Here is a 19,147-nt window from a genome sequence, read left to right as displayed (position 1 = left end):
AATAAGTTTTTTGATTGGCTCAGAGGTGATGTTTCTCATCAGTTGCTGGGCAGAAACCACTGAGGAAGGCTGAAATGAAAACTGAAAGTACATTGAATTGTACACGTTGAAGAAAAATTCCTGCCCTACCTCCCTTACTGTTTATCTCTTTCATTCTTGTGTGTATATACGTATTTCTATATAGTCACTTGTCTTAAGTCTTTTATCATAATAGAAATATCAGCAGAACACAATGGGAAAAGATTTTAATGTGGTGAAGAGAGAAAGATGAGCACTAATTAAAATGCTACTGTGGCAGTTTGCTAACATTTGCTTGCATGAATATGGGTACATGGAGGAGGAGGAGATTTTACTACAGAGTCAAATAAACGTATGAATGGAAAGAAAACCAGACACAATGCACTTTTTTTTTGAAACGGAGTTTCACTCTGTCACCCAGGTTGGAGTGCAGTTGCAGGATCTTGGCTCACTGCAACCTTCGCCTCCCAGGTTCAAGTGATTTTCCTGCCTCAGCTCCTGAATAACTGGGATTACAGGTGCTCGCCCCATGCCCGGCTACTTTTTGTATTTTTAGTAGAGACAGGGTTTTGCCATATTGGCCAGGCTGGTCTCAAACTCCTGAGCTCAAGTGATCCTCCCTCCTCAGATCCCAAAGTGCTAGGATTACAGGCTTAAGCCACTGCACCCGGCCCACAATGCACATTTTTAAGCACCTCCAGCATCCAGGCTTAGGATCTGTTATCAAAAAATGTAATTTTTCTGGCTTCCAGAGGCAGTGCTGCTTGACACGTTTTACCTTTTTCAGCAAATTTTTAGTGCAGGTGTTTCTGAGCATCTCCATTCACCCTCAGCTCCTGTTCTGTGCTACACTGTATTTTCCTGTGTATTTGTTTCTCCTGCTGCCAGTGGAGTACATATTCTCTGAGGCCAGACTCTAGATAAACTGTGAATGCTGTCTCTGTAAGATGTCTATAAAACAAATTGGTTCTTCCTGTGGCCTAGGACCTCAAAACAGACTTTCTGGGATTGCAAGTCAATGATCGAAGTTCCTAAGGCTAAGATGTGACTGGGGCTGATGCAATTTAATTATATTGTAAATGTTTGAATTTAGACTGTGTAGTATCTGATTGAGATGGCTGGTCCCTTCTGCATCATGCATTCCCCCTTTCTTCTTGGTGATAAGGCCTAATTTTCTTAGGTACTACAACGTTCTTTTCCATCTGGTAGATAGCAGAGACCAAGGGACAAAGTTGGAACCAGTGTTTTGTAGGTGACAGCTGTGGGCTTATGCTTCTCCAAGAGATCCTTCAAAGGAGGGGCCAAAAGAGCTGGGAGTGTGAGGGTACACTCTCTGTACTTCCTCTTCCTCTTGCCTGCGATGTAGGCTTTTGACCTGGAGGTGCAGCGGCCCTCCTGGGACCATGAGGCAACCTTGACATTGGAAGCCACATGCAGAGACAGCAGAGAATGAAGTCAGAAGCAGTCTGGGGCATGAATGACACCTCTGAGGTGCCAGATCAGCCCTGGACTGCAACCACCTGAATTGATTTTACATGAAAACAAAACAAAACAAAACAAAAAAAACAAGAAAACCCTTGTTTTGTTTAAGCCAGTGGTATTTCTGGTCTCTGTTATCAGCAGAAGTACAAAATTTTTCCCTCTCCCTTTTTCCTCCCCAGCAGTTTGTCATAAAACTTCTAAAACATAAAGCAAAGGTGAAAGAATTTTCAGTGAATACCAATTACCTACCATGTAAATTGTATTGATAGAGTTAATATTTTACTAAACTTTCTTACTTTATTATAATCCATATCACTATTCATTCCCTATCCATCCATCATCCTTATTTATTTGTTCATTTGCTTCTTTTCTTTCTCTTTTTTTTTTTTTTGAGATGGAGTCTCGCTGTGTCTCCCAGACTAGAGTGCAGTGGCATGCTGTCGGCTCACTGCAACCTCCACCTCACAGTTTCAAGCAATTCTCCTACCTCAGCCTCCCGAGTAGCCGGGATCACAGGCACCTGCCACCACACCCAGCTAATTTTTGTATTTTTAGTAGATGGGGTTTTGCCATGTTGCCCAGGCTAGTCTCAAACTCCTGACCTCAGGTGATCTGCCCACGTCGGCCTCCCAAAGTGCTGGGATTTCAGGCGTGAGCTACTGCACCTCATTTGCTTATTTTTAAATTCATAGTCTATCAGAAGCTGTGTTGCTTGAAATTATATCAGTAAGAGTGATCACCCACCCTTGCCTGAAGGATCCAAATCACTTTGACACAAAGAAGCAGCTGAGGTGCTAAGCTTCAGATTAGGAGTTTCTGGGCCCAATAATTCATATCTCTCAAGTTTGTAGTTTCCAAAGTATCAGGCCCCTTGCTCCATTTCTCATGCAGTCCTTCACACAGAACTCTGGGAAAGAAATCTTGGGAAAGAAATGGATGTGAAATGGGGCAGAAATGAATTCAGTGATTCAACAAATTTTTATTGAGAACCTATCATCTAGTAGTTCTCAGGCACTGAAGTTCAAAATTAGTGAGTAGAAGTTGCATAATGGAGTGGATAAGAGCACTAATTCTCAAGCTAGGTGGCCTGCGTGACCTTGAGCCAGTTACCTAACATCTCTGTGCCCAGTTTCCCTATCTGTAAAATAAGGACAGTGATAGTACTTGACTTCTTGGGTTGCTGTTGTGAGGATGGAATGAGATAATGCATGCAGTTTGCTTACAACAGTGTATCAAAAAAAAATGTCACAAGAATGTACACTTAGTGAAAGTGTACTCAGCCCTCCTTCAAGACCTAGGCCCTTGATGCTATCTTCTCTTTGTCTTTTACAAGACCTAGTGCAGTGTCCTGCATGCAATAGGTGTTGAAAAATGCCCAGAAATCCGTCTCCTTTGTTTAGTTAGTCTCATCAACAAATGTCCATTTCTCATGGATATCATGCTACCTCTTGTTGCCATTAAGAACTCTCATGAACACACATTTTCTTTATGCTGTATCTAGATATCTGTCAGCACATCCAAGGCACACTGCCTTACTATCTACTGTCTCGAGATTTTTTTTTTCTATGTTCATCTGTTCTCATTCACAACTCATTAGCCCTGGAACCCAAAGCCGGTTAACTAATTACTCAAGGTCTCTGTTTATTCATCTGTAGGGCAGAAATGAGATCTGTTCCATAAGTTATTTAAGGAGCAGTTAGCACAGGCCCTGCAAGTAGTAACCCTCAATGAATTTCATTGTCTTCCATTCTGAAAGGCTCAATTCTGATCCCTGCATTGATGAGTCCTAAATCCACTTCCCCTGGAGACAACATCAACAGATGTCTGCTGTGGAGTTGGAGTTTTAGTGGGAAGGTGAAGGGAAAATATCTGAAAAGTTTGACATGAGGAAATGTGTATGTTTAAAATAGAAGTGAGGTAGGTGCAGGGAAGATGGGAGGAAGGAGGTGCCATTTACATTGTATTCTATGGGATGATGTCTGCTGGGGTTGCACAATATATCCCATCCTCATCCGGTGGGCCAGATGTTAGGAGATAGGGAGACCAGGAAGGAAGCTACTGTGACAGTCTAGGCAAGAAATTATGGTGGCTTGGCAATGGGGGATAGGAGACTTTATTGATTACTAACTTTAATACTAGGAAATACTTACATAGAACCTGCTACCATGCTGGTATTGTGCTAAGAGATTTACATGTATTAATACGACTCATGACAACCCTAAGAGGTAGAAACCTTATTTCGCACATTTAATAGATATAAAATCTGAGGTCCAGAGAGGTTAAATAACTCCCCAAGGCCACATGAGTAGTTTCTTTCTAAGCTGGGCTTTGAGTCCAGGCTGTCTCACTCCAGAGTCTGTGATGAAACCACTGAGCTAGACTATTGAAAGGAAGTATAAATAGCAGGGCCTGGCTATCAGTCAGAAGTGGTAGGTAAAAGAGAGCATGAGAAGGCTGAAATGACTCTTAGGTGGTGTCACTCATTCAGTTAATGATGGGTAGGCAGGGTTGATGGGAATTTAGTTTTGGACACACTCATTGTGAGATGTCTAGTGGGCATTCAGGGAATGCGTGGGGCTGGAGACAGAAATGCAAGTGCTGGTGGGAGTCTGCTTATGGGATAGAGCTTTGAAAACGGATTGGACCCCACAAGAGCATATGTGGTGTGAAAAGAGAGGCCAAGACGAAAGCCTAAGGAATATCAGCAGTTCTGGAGCAAGTGAAGCAAGAATTCTGAGAAAGATCTCCCTAGGAGCAGGGAAAGGCCAAGAAGAGGGCCCTGGGGATTGATGAGGCAGACGCCACATAGGCAGGAACACCTACTCAGGCAGGTCTATGAAGAACTCAGTGTTGTCCATAAAGGAAGGACAGAAGTGTATAATGACAAGCGAGGCCCAGTGTCTCACAGCTATAATCCCAGCACTGTGGGAGGCTAAGGCAGGAGGATCGCTTGAGCCCAGGAGATCAAGGCAGCAGTCAGCGATGATCACACCACTGAACTCTAGCCTGTGTGACAGAGCAAGATCCTGTCTCTCTAAAAAGGAAAGCACGGGGGTGGGAGGGGAAAATAGAAATGTGTAACGGATTTAATGGTTGGGAAACCATTAGTAACTGATAGAAACAATGCTTATGGGCTGAGAGTAGTGGCTCTTGCCTGTAATGTAGCACTTTAGGAGGCTGAGGCGGGCAGTTCACCTAAGGTCAGGAGTTAGAGACCAGTCAGGCCAACGTGGTGAAACCCCGCTTTACTAAAAGTACAAAAATTAGCTGGGCATGGTGGCACAGGCCTGTAATCCCAGCTACTTGGGAGGCTGAGTCAGGGGAATTGCTTGAATCTAGGAGGCAGAAGTTGCAGTGAGCCGACATCATGCTGCTGCACTCCAGCCTGGACAACAGAGCAAGAGTCTATCTCAAAAAAAAAAGAAAGAAAGAAAGAAAGAAAAAAACAAACAATGTTTATGGTGTGGTACAGCAGTGGCCATCATGATGGCAGACAGTCCCTGATGGCCATGTATGTGTTCTCTTTCTGAGACTTTGCTTGTATGAAAGTAGAGACCTAGAGAGAGGTTAGCATGTTTGTATTGCCCAGGGAAAGAGGAAGCAGGGCAGTTACAATGGGAGAACATTGAGCTTCTTATATGATGTAGCCGATAGAGTCTGGAGTGGACCCCTTATGATTACTCCTCTTGCAGTTTGCAGCCTGTACTTTCCCTGAGTGTGAGCTGAACCTGTGGCTTGCTGCTAACCAATAAAATATGGTAAAACTGATGGGATGTCCCTTCCATGACTACACTATGTAGTGTAAGACTCTCTCTTGCTAGCTGACCCACTCTAGAGGCTCTGTCTTCCTAGTTGGCTATGAAGAGGAAAGTAGTCATCATGGGGATCCACACAGCAGGGAGCTGAGGAGGCCTGTAGGAGCTGAGAGCAACCTCCAGCTTCAGCCTGCAAGGAGTTGGGGCCCTCAGTCCTACAACTGTAAAGAAATGAACTCTGTTAACAACCTGAGTGATCTGAAAAGAGGACTCTCCCACAGTCGAGACTCTAGATGAGGCTACAGCCTGGCCAACACCTTGACTTTTGCTCTGTGAAGTTCTGAGCAGAGGAGCTCACTAAGTTCTGCCTGGACTTCTGACCCACAGAAACTGAAATGATAAATGTGTGCTGTTTTAAACCACTAAGTTTGTGGTAATTTGTTATGCAGCAATAGATCACTAATGCATTAAAGTGAAACAGGCATGACAACAAACATGCAGATAAAGAAGATAAAGAGAAAAACTTGTGTTTCCAGCCCTGACCCGTTGCCTGGACTACACATTTATTACTGACCTGCCTACTCTGCATCTCCACGGGGATCTCTAGTAAGCTCCTCAACCTGAACGTATCCAAAACTGACCTTGGATTCTATGCTGGCTCCTCCCCTGGCCTCCAAAACCTGCTTCTCCCTCAGTTTCCTCATCTCAGTAAGTGGCAACTCCATTTGTACCATTTCTTAGGACCAAAACCTTGTGGTCACCCTTGATGCCCTCCTTTTTCATACCCCACCTGTAAGTTTATCAGCAAAGCCTTTTTACTCTGTCTTGAAAATAAATCCAGCATCATAACATTTTCATGGCTCCTCCCTGGTACAAGTCATCTGCATCTTTCCCCTGGATCACTGCAGTAGCTCCCAGCTGGGTCTTCAGGCCTCCATCCACCACCCCTACCCACAGCCCATCTCAGTCTAGCATGTGAAGTAACTTCTTAAAATGTAAGTAAGTCCAGTCCTTTTTCTGCTTTAACCTTCCTGTGGCTCCCCTCTGAGAGGTAAAGCCCAGGTCAGCATGATGACTTTCAAGGCCATATATGATCTGGCCCTCAACCCCCTCTGGCCTTGTCACCTCCTAATCTCCTGATCACCCTGTGTGCTCTGCCCACCCCAGCCTCATTGCTGTTCTTCACACAAACCACAGTGCTTCTGCCTCTGTGCTCTGGCACTGCTGTTCTCTCAACTTAGAATGCTTTTCTCCCAGGTATTCTGTGCCTCACTCCCATTGCTCATTACCACTCTTTTAGAAATTGTGATTTCCTATATTCCTTCCCCTGATTTATTTATCTCCTGAGCAGTTATCATCATCCAACACACCATATCTGTTACTACTTATTTTGTTTTCTGTCTTCTACAATGATAAGGAATGGGACTTTACACTTTGTGCACTTCTCTGCCCCCAGTACCAAGAACACTGATTGGCATGTAGTTAGTACTCATTGATTTTTGTTGAATGAATGAATGAACTGAACACAGAAGTCCTAAGGGAAACTGGAGAGTGAGAGTCCAGGGTGTGGATGGAGAATTAGCCTGACACAGGGGAAAGGATACCTGCTTCTTAAATCAGAGAAAATAGATGAGGAGGGGCAGGAGCAGGTCAGGGCAGCAGCAGGAAGTTTGGAATCTCCTCCTTCTATTTTCTCTCTGAGGTTGAGGGAGCCCTAATGAATGTCATTAGTGTCCTTCCAAAAGAGACCCTACAGATCTATCTTTATCCTTTGGCATGTGAACAAGTCTATGGGCCCTCACCACACACCATTATGCTGGGGTGTTGATCTTAGATTTCCCAGCCTGCAGAATTGCAAGAAATAAATTTCTGTTGTTTACAAACCATTCAGTCTTGGTGATATTTTTGTTATAGCTGCCCACATAGACTAAGACATACACATTAACACAAACAACCTTGCTTTCCATCTTTACAAATCAGGTATTGAAAAAATCACTCCTGATTCTTTCAATATTGTGTCTATTTGTAACTGCAGTAATAAAATTTTTGATTACTTAAATTTTTTCAGTCCAACTGGATTACTGAATTGTCTAAAACCTAAAATACTACCATTCAAGCTAGAATTTTAGATGCCTCATTTTATTAGTCAGGGTTCTCCAGAGAGACAAAATCAATATGATATAGATATAGATATAGGCATAGATATAGATGCACATACAGATATAGATGTAGATACAGATCTATGAGCAGGCATTTATTAAGGAGATTGGCTCATGTGATTATGGAGGCTAAGAAATCGCACAACAGCTCATCTGTAGGCTGGAGACCCTGGGATGCTGGTAGCATGGCTCAGTTTAAGTCTGAAAGCCTCAGAACCAGGGAAGCTGATTGTGTAACTCTCAGTCCAAAGCCAAAGGCCTGAGAACCCAGGGCCTCCTGGTACAAGTCCTGAAGTTCAAAGGCCGGAGAGCCAGGAGTTCTGATGTCCAAGGGCAGAAGAAGAAGAGTGTCTCAGCTCCAGAGGAGAGAAGAATTTGCCTTTCCTCTGCCTTTTTGTTGTATTGGGCACCCAGCCAACAGAAGGAGAGAATTTCCCACTGACTCACTTGCCAATCTCTTCTGGAAACACACTCACAGACACACCCAGAAATAATGTTGTACCAGCTGTCTAGGTATTCCTTAATCCAGTCAGGTTGACATCTAAAATTAACCAGCACATGGATTAACTTCCAGGATCCACTATTCTAGTTTCAAAATGTGGTTTTGGGATTCCTAGAGAGAACTCTGATGTACTCTTAAGGAGTCCCCAGTGTTAATAATATTTTCACAATAATAATAATGAAACATTAATCGTTTTTCATCTCATTCTCTCAGTAGTGTGCAGTAAAGTTTTTTTGAGCTAACATGACCTATGATATACCAATAGGTTTAATACAAAGGCAGATATGATAATACAAATATCTCTTATTAAGCCAGACATGAGATCTGGAAAAAGTTAACCAGTGTCACACTTTTTGTTTTTTTATTTGGACACAATAGATTGCTTTTTCACAAAACATCCTATCTACATTAACCTATAACTGATTTATTAATGCTATTTTAACATAAATTAAAAGATAACATTTTAAATTTTTGTTTCAATGTCAAATGTCATAAATATTAACCCAAATAAACAAAAGCTCTTTAAAGTCCTCAATAACTTCTAAGTGTCTAAAAACATAATTAGATCAGGAAGTTTGAAGCCACTGGTGTCCCCATTGAACCTGAATGCTGACGTAGACCTGGTCCAGTACTGCCCTGCTCGACCAGGACCTCAAACCTCAACCACACTCAGGGACTAAGTACTGACCCCTTGTTTATTGCAGGGACATCTGAGCCAAACCACATCCACATGAGTCCATGTTCTTCATTCATCTTCATCCCAGGTCCAGGCCTGTGGGTGTGTGCTGTGGAAATCCTGGGGTTGGGTGGAAATGAGCCATCATCTCCCAGGACCCTTTAGCTCTTATGGTGGGACTTAGCCATCCTTACAACCTTGGTCCCTCCCAGCTCTCTGGTTCCACTTCCTCTATCTCTGATCTGCATATCTGGTTCCCTCTCCCTTCTGGTGGTCCTGTGGATTCCTCTCTCCTCTCTCATCCTGGTGAACCCTGTTGGCCTCATTCCAAGTCCACAGCATCTGGTGCCAACTGGCATATTGGGCTTAATGTGGTTATCCTGATTTTAAACAGTAGGTTCGCTGCCCAACAGCTTCTCTCACTTTCTTTTTGACTGGGAGCTATGAAACAACTAGTTCCCTATGCCTGGATCCCATCCCATAATTACAAGCAAAGGAACTACTAAAGCCACAGACTAGTGAGGAGGAGAAAACTGGGGCAGAGGGCTGGAGTGGGTGTGAAAAAGGCAGCTGGAAGATGTTCTCTTACGTGACCAGAGGGGAGGAGGGCGTGTCTTTCATTAGGGGGGTTGTGCGGTGGCTGCTGAGATGGCCAGGGCTTATCTGCATGGCTGTGAGTCCAAGGAATTGATTCTATAGGCTCTGGTGGGTCCCCACTCTGTGAAGTTTCAGGCCCTCTTCAGGCACCATGACCCCACTGGCTCCTGTGAGTGCAGGGCAGATGAAGATGGGGCTGTCATCAGACCCTAACCTGAAGAAGGGCCTCACAGGCACAGTAAAGGCTGAACGGGGACATGTGTAGATGTGCGATCTGTCCCTCATGTTGTAGAAGGAGACATCTCCAGCTTCATAGTCCAGGAAGACGCCCACCCGGCAAAGGGACTCCTTCAAAGGGAGAATCCTCTCAGGGGAGGACAGGGCCCGGTATTGGTTTCCAAACATCTCCAGGGTCCAGAAGCCATTCTGAGGAATCAGCAGGACCTCCCCTTTCCTCTCAACACTGTGTCTGCAGACCCCCACAGTCCACACCATCACGTTTTCCACCTCCACCTCCCAGTAATGTTTCCCTGAGGCGAAGCTCTCCCATCCCAGGACACAAGGCTGACTGTCGAATCTCTCTGGGTTGTCAGGCACTCTCTGCCTGTAGGGGCCCCGCCTCACACTTCTCCGGTCCTCTGACAGGAAGAGCTCGGGATGAGCGGTGTCTGGATCCAGGACCACATCAGCTGCAGAGGAAGTCTCAGGTTTATGCCTGGGGTCTCAGGAACCCTGGGGATTGTGTGGTTCCTGGTCCCCAGAGAAGTCTCAGAAAGCTGAAGGGGGTTCCCCATGTAGTGGCCGTTTCCATGAAGGTCCCCTGATCCCAGGCAGCTCATACCCTGAGAATTACGGAAGCTGCACTTCTATCTCTCCAGAGACAGAAGCAGTGCCCCCAGGTTGAGAAGAATTGTGGCTCTATGAAATCCAGAGAGTTTAGGAAATGAGCCAAAATTAATGGTTCCCAGTTTTTCTCAGCATTCTAAGATCTGATCCCTTTTCTATTCAAGATATATGATCTCTGGGACTTTCTTTAGTTAGAAACTTTCCAACTTGGCTTAAACCATCACAGAAGCTTTATCTCCTATTGTTCCCCCACATACCTCTCAATGGATCAATTAAGTGAGTCTATCATTACACACTGTCCTAGGTGGTGAAGGACCTCTTCGTTGGTCCTATAGGTTGTTTTAATAGGTGACAACTGATTTAAGTGGCTGACAAGGGCACACTTCAAAGGATAAAGAAGGAGAATAAATGTGTGCAAAAGAAAACCTGGTGCCTGAGGGATGTGTGGGCAAAGTTAGGGAAGAAATACTTCAATCCAGTTTTGCTTTAACAATATGAGTCTGACATCTACCAGGATTACTTCTCCCATACAGGAAAAGCCCCAGGAGCTGAGCATTCTGCAAACCTCTACCTTCTGCATGTATTCTTACTTATTCAGTCTACCTTTCTATTGCATTAAAATGATTTTCTCTTTTCCACAAGTTGATATGTCTGATTGTGACAAGTTGTGATTGTGTCCCAAAATGACAGTGGCAATTTTGAAACTCGCCAAAGAGGAAAGGTCCATGGGCCCTGGTATCTGGTAAAGTTTGGATTCTTTGGTGCTGACAGGCAGAGGTGCCGAATCACAAGATGAGAACTCACTGGAAGTGGGCGATTGGTTTCTCTGTGCTCTCCCACTCACCCTCCCACTCACCCAAACCCCTTCCCCTGGCAGACTACATGCAGAATATCAGTGCTCTCTTAGAGGCAGAAAGGTATTTCTGGCCACCTATTTGTACACCATTGCATCAGGCTTACTGGGGACCCTTATGGCCTTTTCCTCACATAGGTCTTCAACTGTGCACAGTCTATACCATTCCCAGGATATGAATTGCTAAGACAGCATTATCTTATTTCAAATTGATCCAGAATCAAAGAGCAATGACTTCTGAAATGTAACTCTTAGGAGGCTACTATGCATGGGAAACCTTTGATAATCATGCATTAAATTATTCCAAAAGAGAAAGGGTCCTGGGGATGTAAACTGCAGGGTTCATTAAGAGCTGCTGGGGTTCCCTGACAGAAGAGCCATGATGCATCATTGCTGGGACACCGTTGATGAACTGACCCCAGTTCCCTATGGTCCCTGTGTAGCCCTGGGCCCCTTGCTCATCTCCTCTAAGGAGTCCTGTTAGCTGGCTAGTGGGGAGAAAGCTGAGATCTGAGAGAACATCAGAGGCACTCACCAGCATGTAAGAATGTTCTTCTCCATCCTGCAAGGGACAGACAGAGGTGAATGTCACGAGACACTGCTAAGTAAGCAGAACACAAATTGTACACGGAGTAGTTCAGGAAAGGCTAAACTTACGCAATTCTTCTTGAAGTTGCTCTGAAAACAAAATACAGAAACAAAATCATGTCTTCAACAGAAGAACTAAGAGAAATTGAGCTTGTATTAAACAACGTAGGAACCATCCTTTCTATGAACACCAACATCACCCTTCGTTTATGCCTAAGGAACAGTCAGAAACCAGCAATGATGTATGATCAGATGGCTGGGTAGTATCAGTACATTGTTAGACTTTTGTCTGAACTTTCGTTCAGCCATGTAGTGCTGCATATAGCCAGGTGAATGAATGTAATGTGTGCAGCATGGAAGAAAGAAAGCTCTGAATGATTACTTCTTATGACATGAGAGTTCCAAGCCCTTGTGGCTGCTGCTGTGCATTTCCTCTCTCTCTTCCCTAAGCCGGTACCTGTGAGAGCTGTGGCCTTTCTATGACAGTCAATTGTCCTCCTACTCATTTAACTTTTCTTTTTGAATTTCTTTCTATTTTTCCACACTTTCTTTACAAATTCCTTACGTGCAATTTCTTTTTCCTCTTGTTCAACTTTCTTTTCCCCTGACAGAATCTTTTTTTCCCTTTGAAGTTTCTTGATGCAACAGATGCTGACAGCCATGAAGATGATGAAAACAGCCAGGATGACAGTCATGGACACCATCCAGGGAGATGCGGTCAGGATGACAGCTAGGGCCACCATCCAGGGAGATGCGCTGGGCATAAAGGATTCTGAAAAGGCAGCCAGAAAAGTCCATTTAGTTTGAAATAGAACATCTGGATGAGAGTGCCCCTAAGAGCACATCTGAAGAGCTCCTCAGCCACCTGTTCTGTTGGCTTCTCCCTCAGAAACCTTAGATGGAGAAAGCGATGCTGGCTCAACACTGGCTGACACCTCAGTGACTGCCAGGGCCGGGCCCAGAAGGGGGCAAAGCAGAAACATCTGGAGTCACCATGGAAAGGACCAGAGTGCATAAAACTAACCAGCCATGCTGAGTCAGCACAGCCATCACCCTGCCTCAAACCACCATCACTCACGCCTGGAATACTAGAGTGCCCTCCTTCTTGTTCTGCTCTATTCTGTAATCTACTCTCAGCAGAGCAGCCCAAGTGAGATCATGTTAATTATTTGCTCAAAACCTTCCAATGCTTCCCACTCACTCACTCTAAAAGCCAAAGCCTGTTTGTGGCCTGTGCTGCCATATATAACGTAGTTGCATCACTCTGTGAATTCATCTCCCCCTACTTCCTGAACTCACTCCATTTCAGCCACACCAGCATCACCTCCTGGGAGTCCTGGAAACTGCCAGACAAGCTCCTTCCTCAGGCCTTTTGCATATGCTCTTCCTGTACCTTGGCTGCTCAGTCCTTAAGCATCTGATGGTTCCTTGTCTTGATTGCTCAATTTCCATCTTTACAGTGAAGTCTTCCCTGACCACCTTGTTAATAATTCTGATGCCTCACACCCCTGGAACTCTCTATTTTCTCTTTGCTTAATTTTTCCTACATGCTCGTCACCATGTGATAGAATATATAGATTATTATTTATTTAATCACTTGTTTCAATTATTTCATATATTGCTGTCTCTCTCTCGCGCTCCCTTTTTTTCTTTTTCTTTTTTAAGACAGAGTCTCACTCTGTTGCCCAGGCTGGAGTGCAGTGGCACGATCTTGACGCAAGCTCTGCCGCCTGGGTTCAAGCAATTCTCCTGCCTCAGCCTCCCAAGCAGCGGGGATTACAGGCGCCTGCTACCGCACTCGGCTAATTTTTGTAGTTTTGGTAGAGATGGTGTTTCACCATCTTGGCCAGGCTGGTCCTGAACTCCCGAACTCATGATCCAACCACCTTGGCCTCCCAAAGTGCTGGGATTGCAGGTGTGAGCCACCGTGCCCGGCCGCTGTCTCTCTCTAGAATATGAACTCCTTGAGGAGAGAAATTTTGATATATTTTGTTCAATTATTGACCCTTGGTTTCCTGTACAGTCTTAAACATAAGAAATGCTTGTTGAACATTTGTTGAATACATTTATGAATGTCTCTTGATAGGGAATTTCCCCAGCTCTGTCCTTTGGGAAGTCCCATAGACAGGAAGGGATGGCTGCAACATACAGGAATGCCAAGCATAGACAGTCACCCACCCACACTACTCTCCAGGTTTGATGGTTGTCCTTAATATTTTACAACTGTTGCAGCATAAAGACCTAATCAAGAAAAAAAAGACCAGGTTTACCCTCAGAGAAGAGGCTCCTACTCTTGTGTTTTGGGACTCTTTGAATCTCCCTTTGTGAGGAGGGGAGACGTCTCAACTCAGCTGCAGCCTCCAGCTCCTCAGGGCCCAGGACCATTCCACCCACACTGCTGCCCCCATTCCCGCTCTGGGCTCCATCTGGGTGCTGAGGATCCTGCATACACTTGATAGGTCTCAGAGGGCAGAGAACTAACCTGGAATAAAAATGACAGTTTCCTTCTCCTGGCCGAGCAGGGTGTTGTTGACAGAGCAGGACACATTCCTCACATACTTGTCTCTGATGATCACAGCTGTGGTGACCATGAAGAGGCCGTCAGCATCAGCGATGGAAACCTCCTTCAGGGCGGGCACAACCTCACCGTAGGGGTCCCTCCACACTGTGAGGGGCTCTGGGTACCACCCTCCAGATATGCACTCCAGCCAGATGCTCCCATCCTCTTGGGCCTTGATTTCAATGAGGGGCTTAGACCCAAGGCCTGGAAAGGGAGACCAGGGCTCAGCCAAAAGGCAGTGGTATCTTAGCCCCTACTGCACCTTGATGGATGGTTGCTAGAAAGACCCTTGGTTTTGGAGAACATCAGGAAACCAATATGCAAAATAAATTGTGAGATCTCAAAGAGAAAGGATCACATTGCACACTTTTCTTTATGCTCCACCTGAAGGCCCCATCACAGCACCAAGCATCTATCTGTCTGCTATAAATGCTTGCTGTGCAATTTATTCTGGCAAAGACTAATTTTCTCACTTCCAGGAGGGTGTGTCCAAATTCTCAACAGGCAGGTTGAGAATTTCACTTTCTGCTCCTGGGATGACTTCTCTGCAGACCTCAATTTCCTGAAGCTCTAAAATAATACACTAATGACAGAAACCTATCAGGTTGGCAGAAGCTTTTTTTCCTTTCTTTCTTTTTTTTTTTTTTTTGTAGAGATGGGGTTTTGCCATGTTGCCCAGGCTGGTCTCAAACTCCTGAGCTAAGGCAATTCACCTGTCTTGACCTCCCAAAGTGCTGGGATTACAGGCATGGGCCACTATGCTCAGCCTTGGCTAAATCTTAAGAAACTTTTTGAACCAAAGTCACTGACACTTCTGTCTAGTTCAGGGCCTCACATCACCATGGCTATCTACCTCCATAGGAGGTGATGGTTTTTAGGAGAATAGACAGAACTAGCTGGCAAAGCCAATTCTTATTCTAATTCACAGTTGTTTACCTCCCAGAGGTTCCATCCAATAGAGAATTTTCTTACAGTCCTTTAAGAACATCAATGTATTAGAAATATCTGGATGCCCCTGGGATCCTTAAGATAACCATATTGCCTCCTCAATGTCAGAGATCATCACCAAAAATCCTAATAATTCAGGCTCATCCTAAATATATTCTATCTTTACTAGAACCTTCAATGAAAGAGAATACCCAGAGTGAGAGAGCTGCAAAAGCATGGTCCTGGGAGACCCTTCAGCCATGCGTGATCATCCAAACTTCTCCTGAATAATTCCTTTGTAAAGTCTCCCAACAAATTATGTTAAAGAAAGAAAATTAAAGCAATCACTTAAGCCTAGTGCTTTCTGCTCTGTTTAATTTTTGTCAGGAGAAAAAAGCTAGTTGTGCATTTGAAGGCTCACACAGAAATCCTGAATTAGAAAAGAAATTAAAATACCTCAGCAAATTGGAAAACAAAGTCCTACAAAACATTCCATGGGTTCAATACGGGTAAGCATGACACAATAGATTTAAGGGAAAAATCAGCCACCAACCAATCCAACAAACAGAGTACAATAAGCAAGCAAACAAAAAGTCCTACAGCAACCCAATTCAGACTAGGGAAGGCCAGGACAGGGTTGGTTTTACAGAGAAAGAGTAGTGGGTCCCTGCCACATACAACCATTCATTACTGGGCAACATTGCAGTGCTGCTGTGAACACAGTCATGACAATGGGTCAAGAAGCCCTCCATCCACGATATTCTGTTTTAATCAGATGTAAGGTTGCCTTTGTGAGTAGCAAAGATAGGGTCTCCTACCTGTTATGATTTGGGGCCCCCTGGGAAGAACCCAATTTCCTAGTCCTTGCCTCCACTGGTCTGATGGACTGAAATGTCACCACGAATTATTCTGCAACTTAAAGGCTTTTTTCAGTCCTGAAATATACCTTTTAAAGCAAAATACACTAACTGCAACACTGAGGTAATCACTTAGTGTCACTTTTAACAAACTATTAGAAATCCCAGTTTAAGTGCATTTCTATGCTGAAGCCTTGCCAATTTCTTCCCAGCTAAATTCTTAGTCTTTCTCTGTGGAGTTAGCAGGAATTATAGATAACTTTGTTTCTGTATTTAGTTGTGCTTTAATAAAAATCATCTATTTATATAAAAGTCACTCTCTCTGCAATCAGTATTTCAGGAAAGAAGAAAATGTCAAGATTAATATTTATCGAAAAATAAGATTTCATGTCATAGTTCTCTGGGCAGTTCTTATTGATTCTGATTGCCCCGGGACAATTTTTGACAGTGTCTCCTTTCACTCTCAGACGTGCACAGTTCAGTGCCAAGGCAGGCATAAGACTTTCTTTTCCGGGATTAACTATTTTCCCCTGCTCATGGCCTCAGCTGAGGAATGCGTGTGCTTCTGAAGAAGTGAAGCCCAGGCTGGGCGTGGTGGCGCACGCCTGTAATCCTAGCACTTTGGGAGACTGAGGCAGGTGGATCACAAGGTCAGGAGTTTGAGACCAGCCTGCCAACATGGTGAAACCCCGTCTCTACTAAAAAAATGCAAAAATTAGCCGGGCATGGTGGTGTATGCCTGTAATCTCAGCTACTCAGGAGGCTGAGGCAGGAGAATAGCTTGAACCCAGGAGGCAGAGGTTGCAGTGAGCCAAGATCGCACCACTGCACTCCAGCCTGGGCAACATAGCAAGACTCTGTCTTGAAAAAAAAAAAAAAAGAAGTGAAACCTATAGCTTAGCAGGGCAAACCCACTCATGTGGCCTTTGTGCAAGAGGAAGCCACTTTCTCTGTGGAAAGGGGACGCCAGATAGAAATCCGTTGGTCTGCAATGGGCCTGAGGTTAAGGGAGAAACTTTCCCCAAAAGTCACACTGTGCAAAAGTAATAAAGCAAAATGAAGTGATGCACCTGCCACCACGAGGCGTAGGATGGCCTCATCGTAGGACCTGCCTTCTTGGAAGTAACAGCGGTAGATCCCATTCTCCTGGGCTGTGACGTTATGTATGACCAGGGCCACGCTGCCCCTGTTGATGTCTTTGCTCACAAAGGTGATTCTTCCCCGGTACTCCTCCATCTGCTCCTCTGTTCTCTCTCTCCCACCCTTATACACAAACACTGCGGGGGAGAACTGAGACCGGAACCACCGCACCTCCATGTCCTCAGCATTTTTCTCGGGTGACAGATGGCAGCGTAATGTAGTGTTTTCTCCCACCATGGCCAGGATGGGATTAGCTGGCCCCACGACAGTAAACTGGGCTGTTCAACAAGGGCAGAATCAGACAAGGATGCCAGTTATCACAACTCTAAGGCAAAACAAAAAACAAAAAACAAAAACAAACAAACAAAAAAAACTCCAGGGATGAAAGGAAGCAGATATTCCAAGGCTACAGGGGTTCTTGGGCTGAGAACCCTTCTGGGGACCAGTAGCTGTGGCTGGTCGGCAGCACCAACCCCTGGGAGCAGTAACTATTGAGGCTGCTCCTGCTTCACGAAGGAAACATTGGGGAGCCCGCCCTGGGCACCCTGTGCCCCTGAGATTTTCCTCCATTTTGCAATCTAGCACTGTGCCTGAGTGTAGTGTAAACTTGAACTGTCCATTAGGGTATCTATCCACTAGCTATTTAACAGTTCCAATAAAAATGAACTCTAAGTGTAAAACACACACAGATTATAAAGATTTAAAATTTCAAAATGTCAAATATCTCATTGGTAATAGTTCTATTAACTAAGCATTTAAATATTGATATGTGATTATTTATATGAAACAAAATACATTATTAAAATTTATTTCAAGTATGTTTTTACCTTTTAAAATAAAAAGTAGAATAGGCACAGGGTCTTGCGCCTGTAATTGCAGATATTTGGGAGGCCAAAGTGGGAGGATCCTTAACAGCTAGGAGTTTGAGACCAGCCTGGGCAAAATAGTGAGACCCTGTCTCTACAAAAAATAAAACTTAGTCGAGTGTGGTGGCCCTTGCTTGTACTCTCAGCTACTTGGGAGGCTGAGATGGGAGGATCCCTTGAGCCCAGGAGTTTCAGGTTACAGTGAGTTATGATCTCATTCTCCATCTGCTTCATTCCGGCCTGGCAACAGAGCAATATACTCTCTCTTAAATAAATAAACAAATAAATAAAAAGTTAAAAAAATCTTTTTGAAGATTTGCACTTGTATATGCACTTGACCTTTGTGCTTCACTGTGTTTCTTTTGGACAGTGCTGGTATAAATTCAGTGAACATGTTCAGAATGAAAGGATAAGTCAACAACCCCACAGTTCTTCCTTCTTTCCCTTTGCAGACTACAGGGTTGATGTTCCTTTCTGAGAGGTGACAGCAGCAAGTGACACACATCCCTACCTGAGACCAGTGCACACAGGCTGAGAAGGAGGAGGAGCAGGAGGAGGAGGAGGGAGGCTGGCAGGGAGAAGTGCAGAGCAGCAGCTGGTTCCATGAGCACCCAGGGCAGGCAGAGACCAGAGGCCTAGGGTTACAGAGGAGGAGAATCAGCCTAGGAGTCTTGGCACCTCAGTGCTGGTCGGGCCCAACCTCTCCTGTCACTCAAGTAGGTCTCATCGGTGCCCCAACTTCTGGGAGTCGCTTGCATCTCAAGGCTCAGGTATCTCCGAAAGAGGGATTCCGTAAACATTCCATAAGTAAGCCATCAATGCAGAGATCAAGGGGGCCGTTTTCCTCCTTCCTCTTCCCACTTCTCGGGCCACAGTCCGGTTTCTTCAGTTGTCCCTGGATTCTTTCACACCCTCGTCCCTCCACTTCCCCCTCCCCGAGACCCAGGTCGGGACACTCGAGGTAAAGCCAGGCGAGGCTGCGCCTCCCCACCAGTAGGCTTCCTGTCTCCCAGGTCCCCCTCTCCTCTCCAGAGCAGATCCCGCTCCCCGCACCTACCGCCCCCAGCTACCGCCCCCACCCCGGAGCTGTAGCGCCTCCTCTCCCTTTCCTACCTTCTAGAACTAACCTCTGTTTTCTTTTCCCCTCTGATCCTCACATGACGATTTTCCGATACAACTCACCCATGGGCACAGTCACCACCAGACAACAAAGCATCCCAAAGAGAAGAGAAAAGCTGTGTTCACCTCCTATTAATCGCGATGTTTGGAGTTGCGGACTCGGTATCTGGGACCTGTTCTCTGGGTGTCCAAAAAGTCCCAA

General features: G+C 45.0%; 1 protein-coding gene across 13 annotated transcripts, besides 2 other annotated features; it reads right to left on the bottom strand.

The window, feature by feature from the left end:
* Positions 11-70: an enhancer, noted in NCBI's record as "active region_24241". NCBI's record gives its function as "activates an Ori minimal core promoter by ATAC-STARR-seq in GM12878 lymphoblastoid cells {active_cell/tissue: GM12878}" and the evidence as "EXISTENCE:reporter gene assay evidence [ECO:0000049][PMID:35858748]".
* Positions 3,870-3,959: a silencer, noted in NCBI's record as "silent region_17009". NCBI's record gives its function as "represses an Ori minimal core promoter by ATAC-STARR-seq in GM12878 lymphoblastoid cells {active_cell/tissue: GM12878}" and the evidence as "EXISTENCE:reporter gene assay evidence [ECO:0000049][PMID:35858748]".
* BTN2A2 (butyrophilin subfamily 2 member A2) lies at positions 7,379-19,145 on the bottom strand. 13 transcript variants are annotated; one of them, NM_001197237.2, is made up of 8 exons: positions 18,940-19,145; positions 18,338-18,461; positions 16,891-17,238; positions 13,959-14,240; positions 12,042-12,248; positions 11,546-11,566; positions 11,424-11,450; positions 7,379-9,878 (listed from the first exon to the last, which is right to left on the bottom strand). In NM_001197237.2, the coding sequence occupies exons 2-8, from the start codon at positions 18,429-18,431 to the stop codon at positions 9,286-9,288; spliced, it is 1,572 nt and encodes a 523-aa protein (NP_001184166.1). In that variant the 5' UTR covers positions 18,432-18,461; positions 18,940-19,145; the 3' UTR covers positions 7,379-9,285. The 13 variants fall into 13 exon arrangements, with proteins under 13 accessions (NP_001184166.1, XP_006715018.1, XP_005248854.1 ...); XM_006714955.4 differs by having other exon boundaries at positions 7,379-10,107; positions 18,954-19,145; XM_005248797.4 differs by having other exon boundaries at positions 18,954-19,145.

Source organism: Homo sapiens, chromosome 6 (genome assembly GCF_000001405.40).
Source record: "Homo sapiens chromosome 6, GRCh38.p14 Primary Assembly".
Classification (NCBI taxonomy): Eukaryota; Metazoa; Chordata; class Mammalia; order Primates; family Hominidae; genus Homo; species Homo sapiens.
The sequence above is the reverse complement of the archived record's forward strand: the minus strand, read 5'-3'. Positions and strand labels throughout refer to the sequence as shown.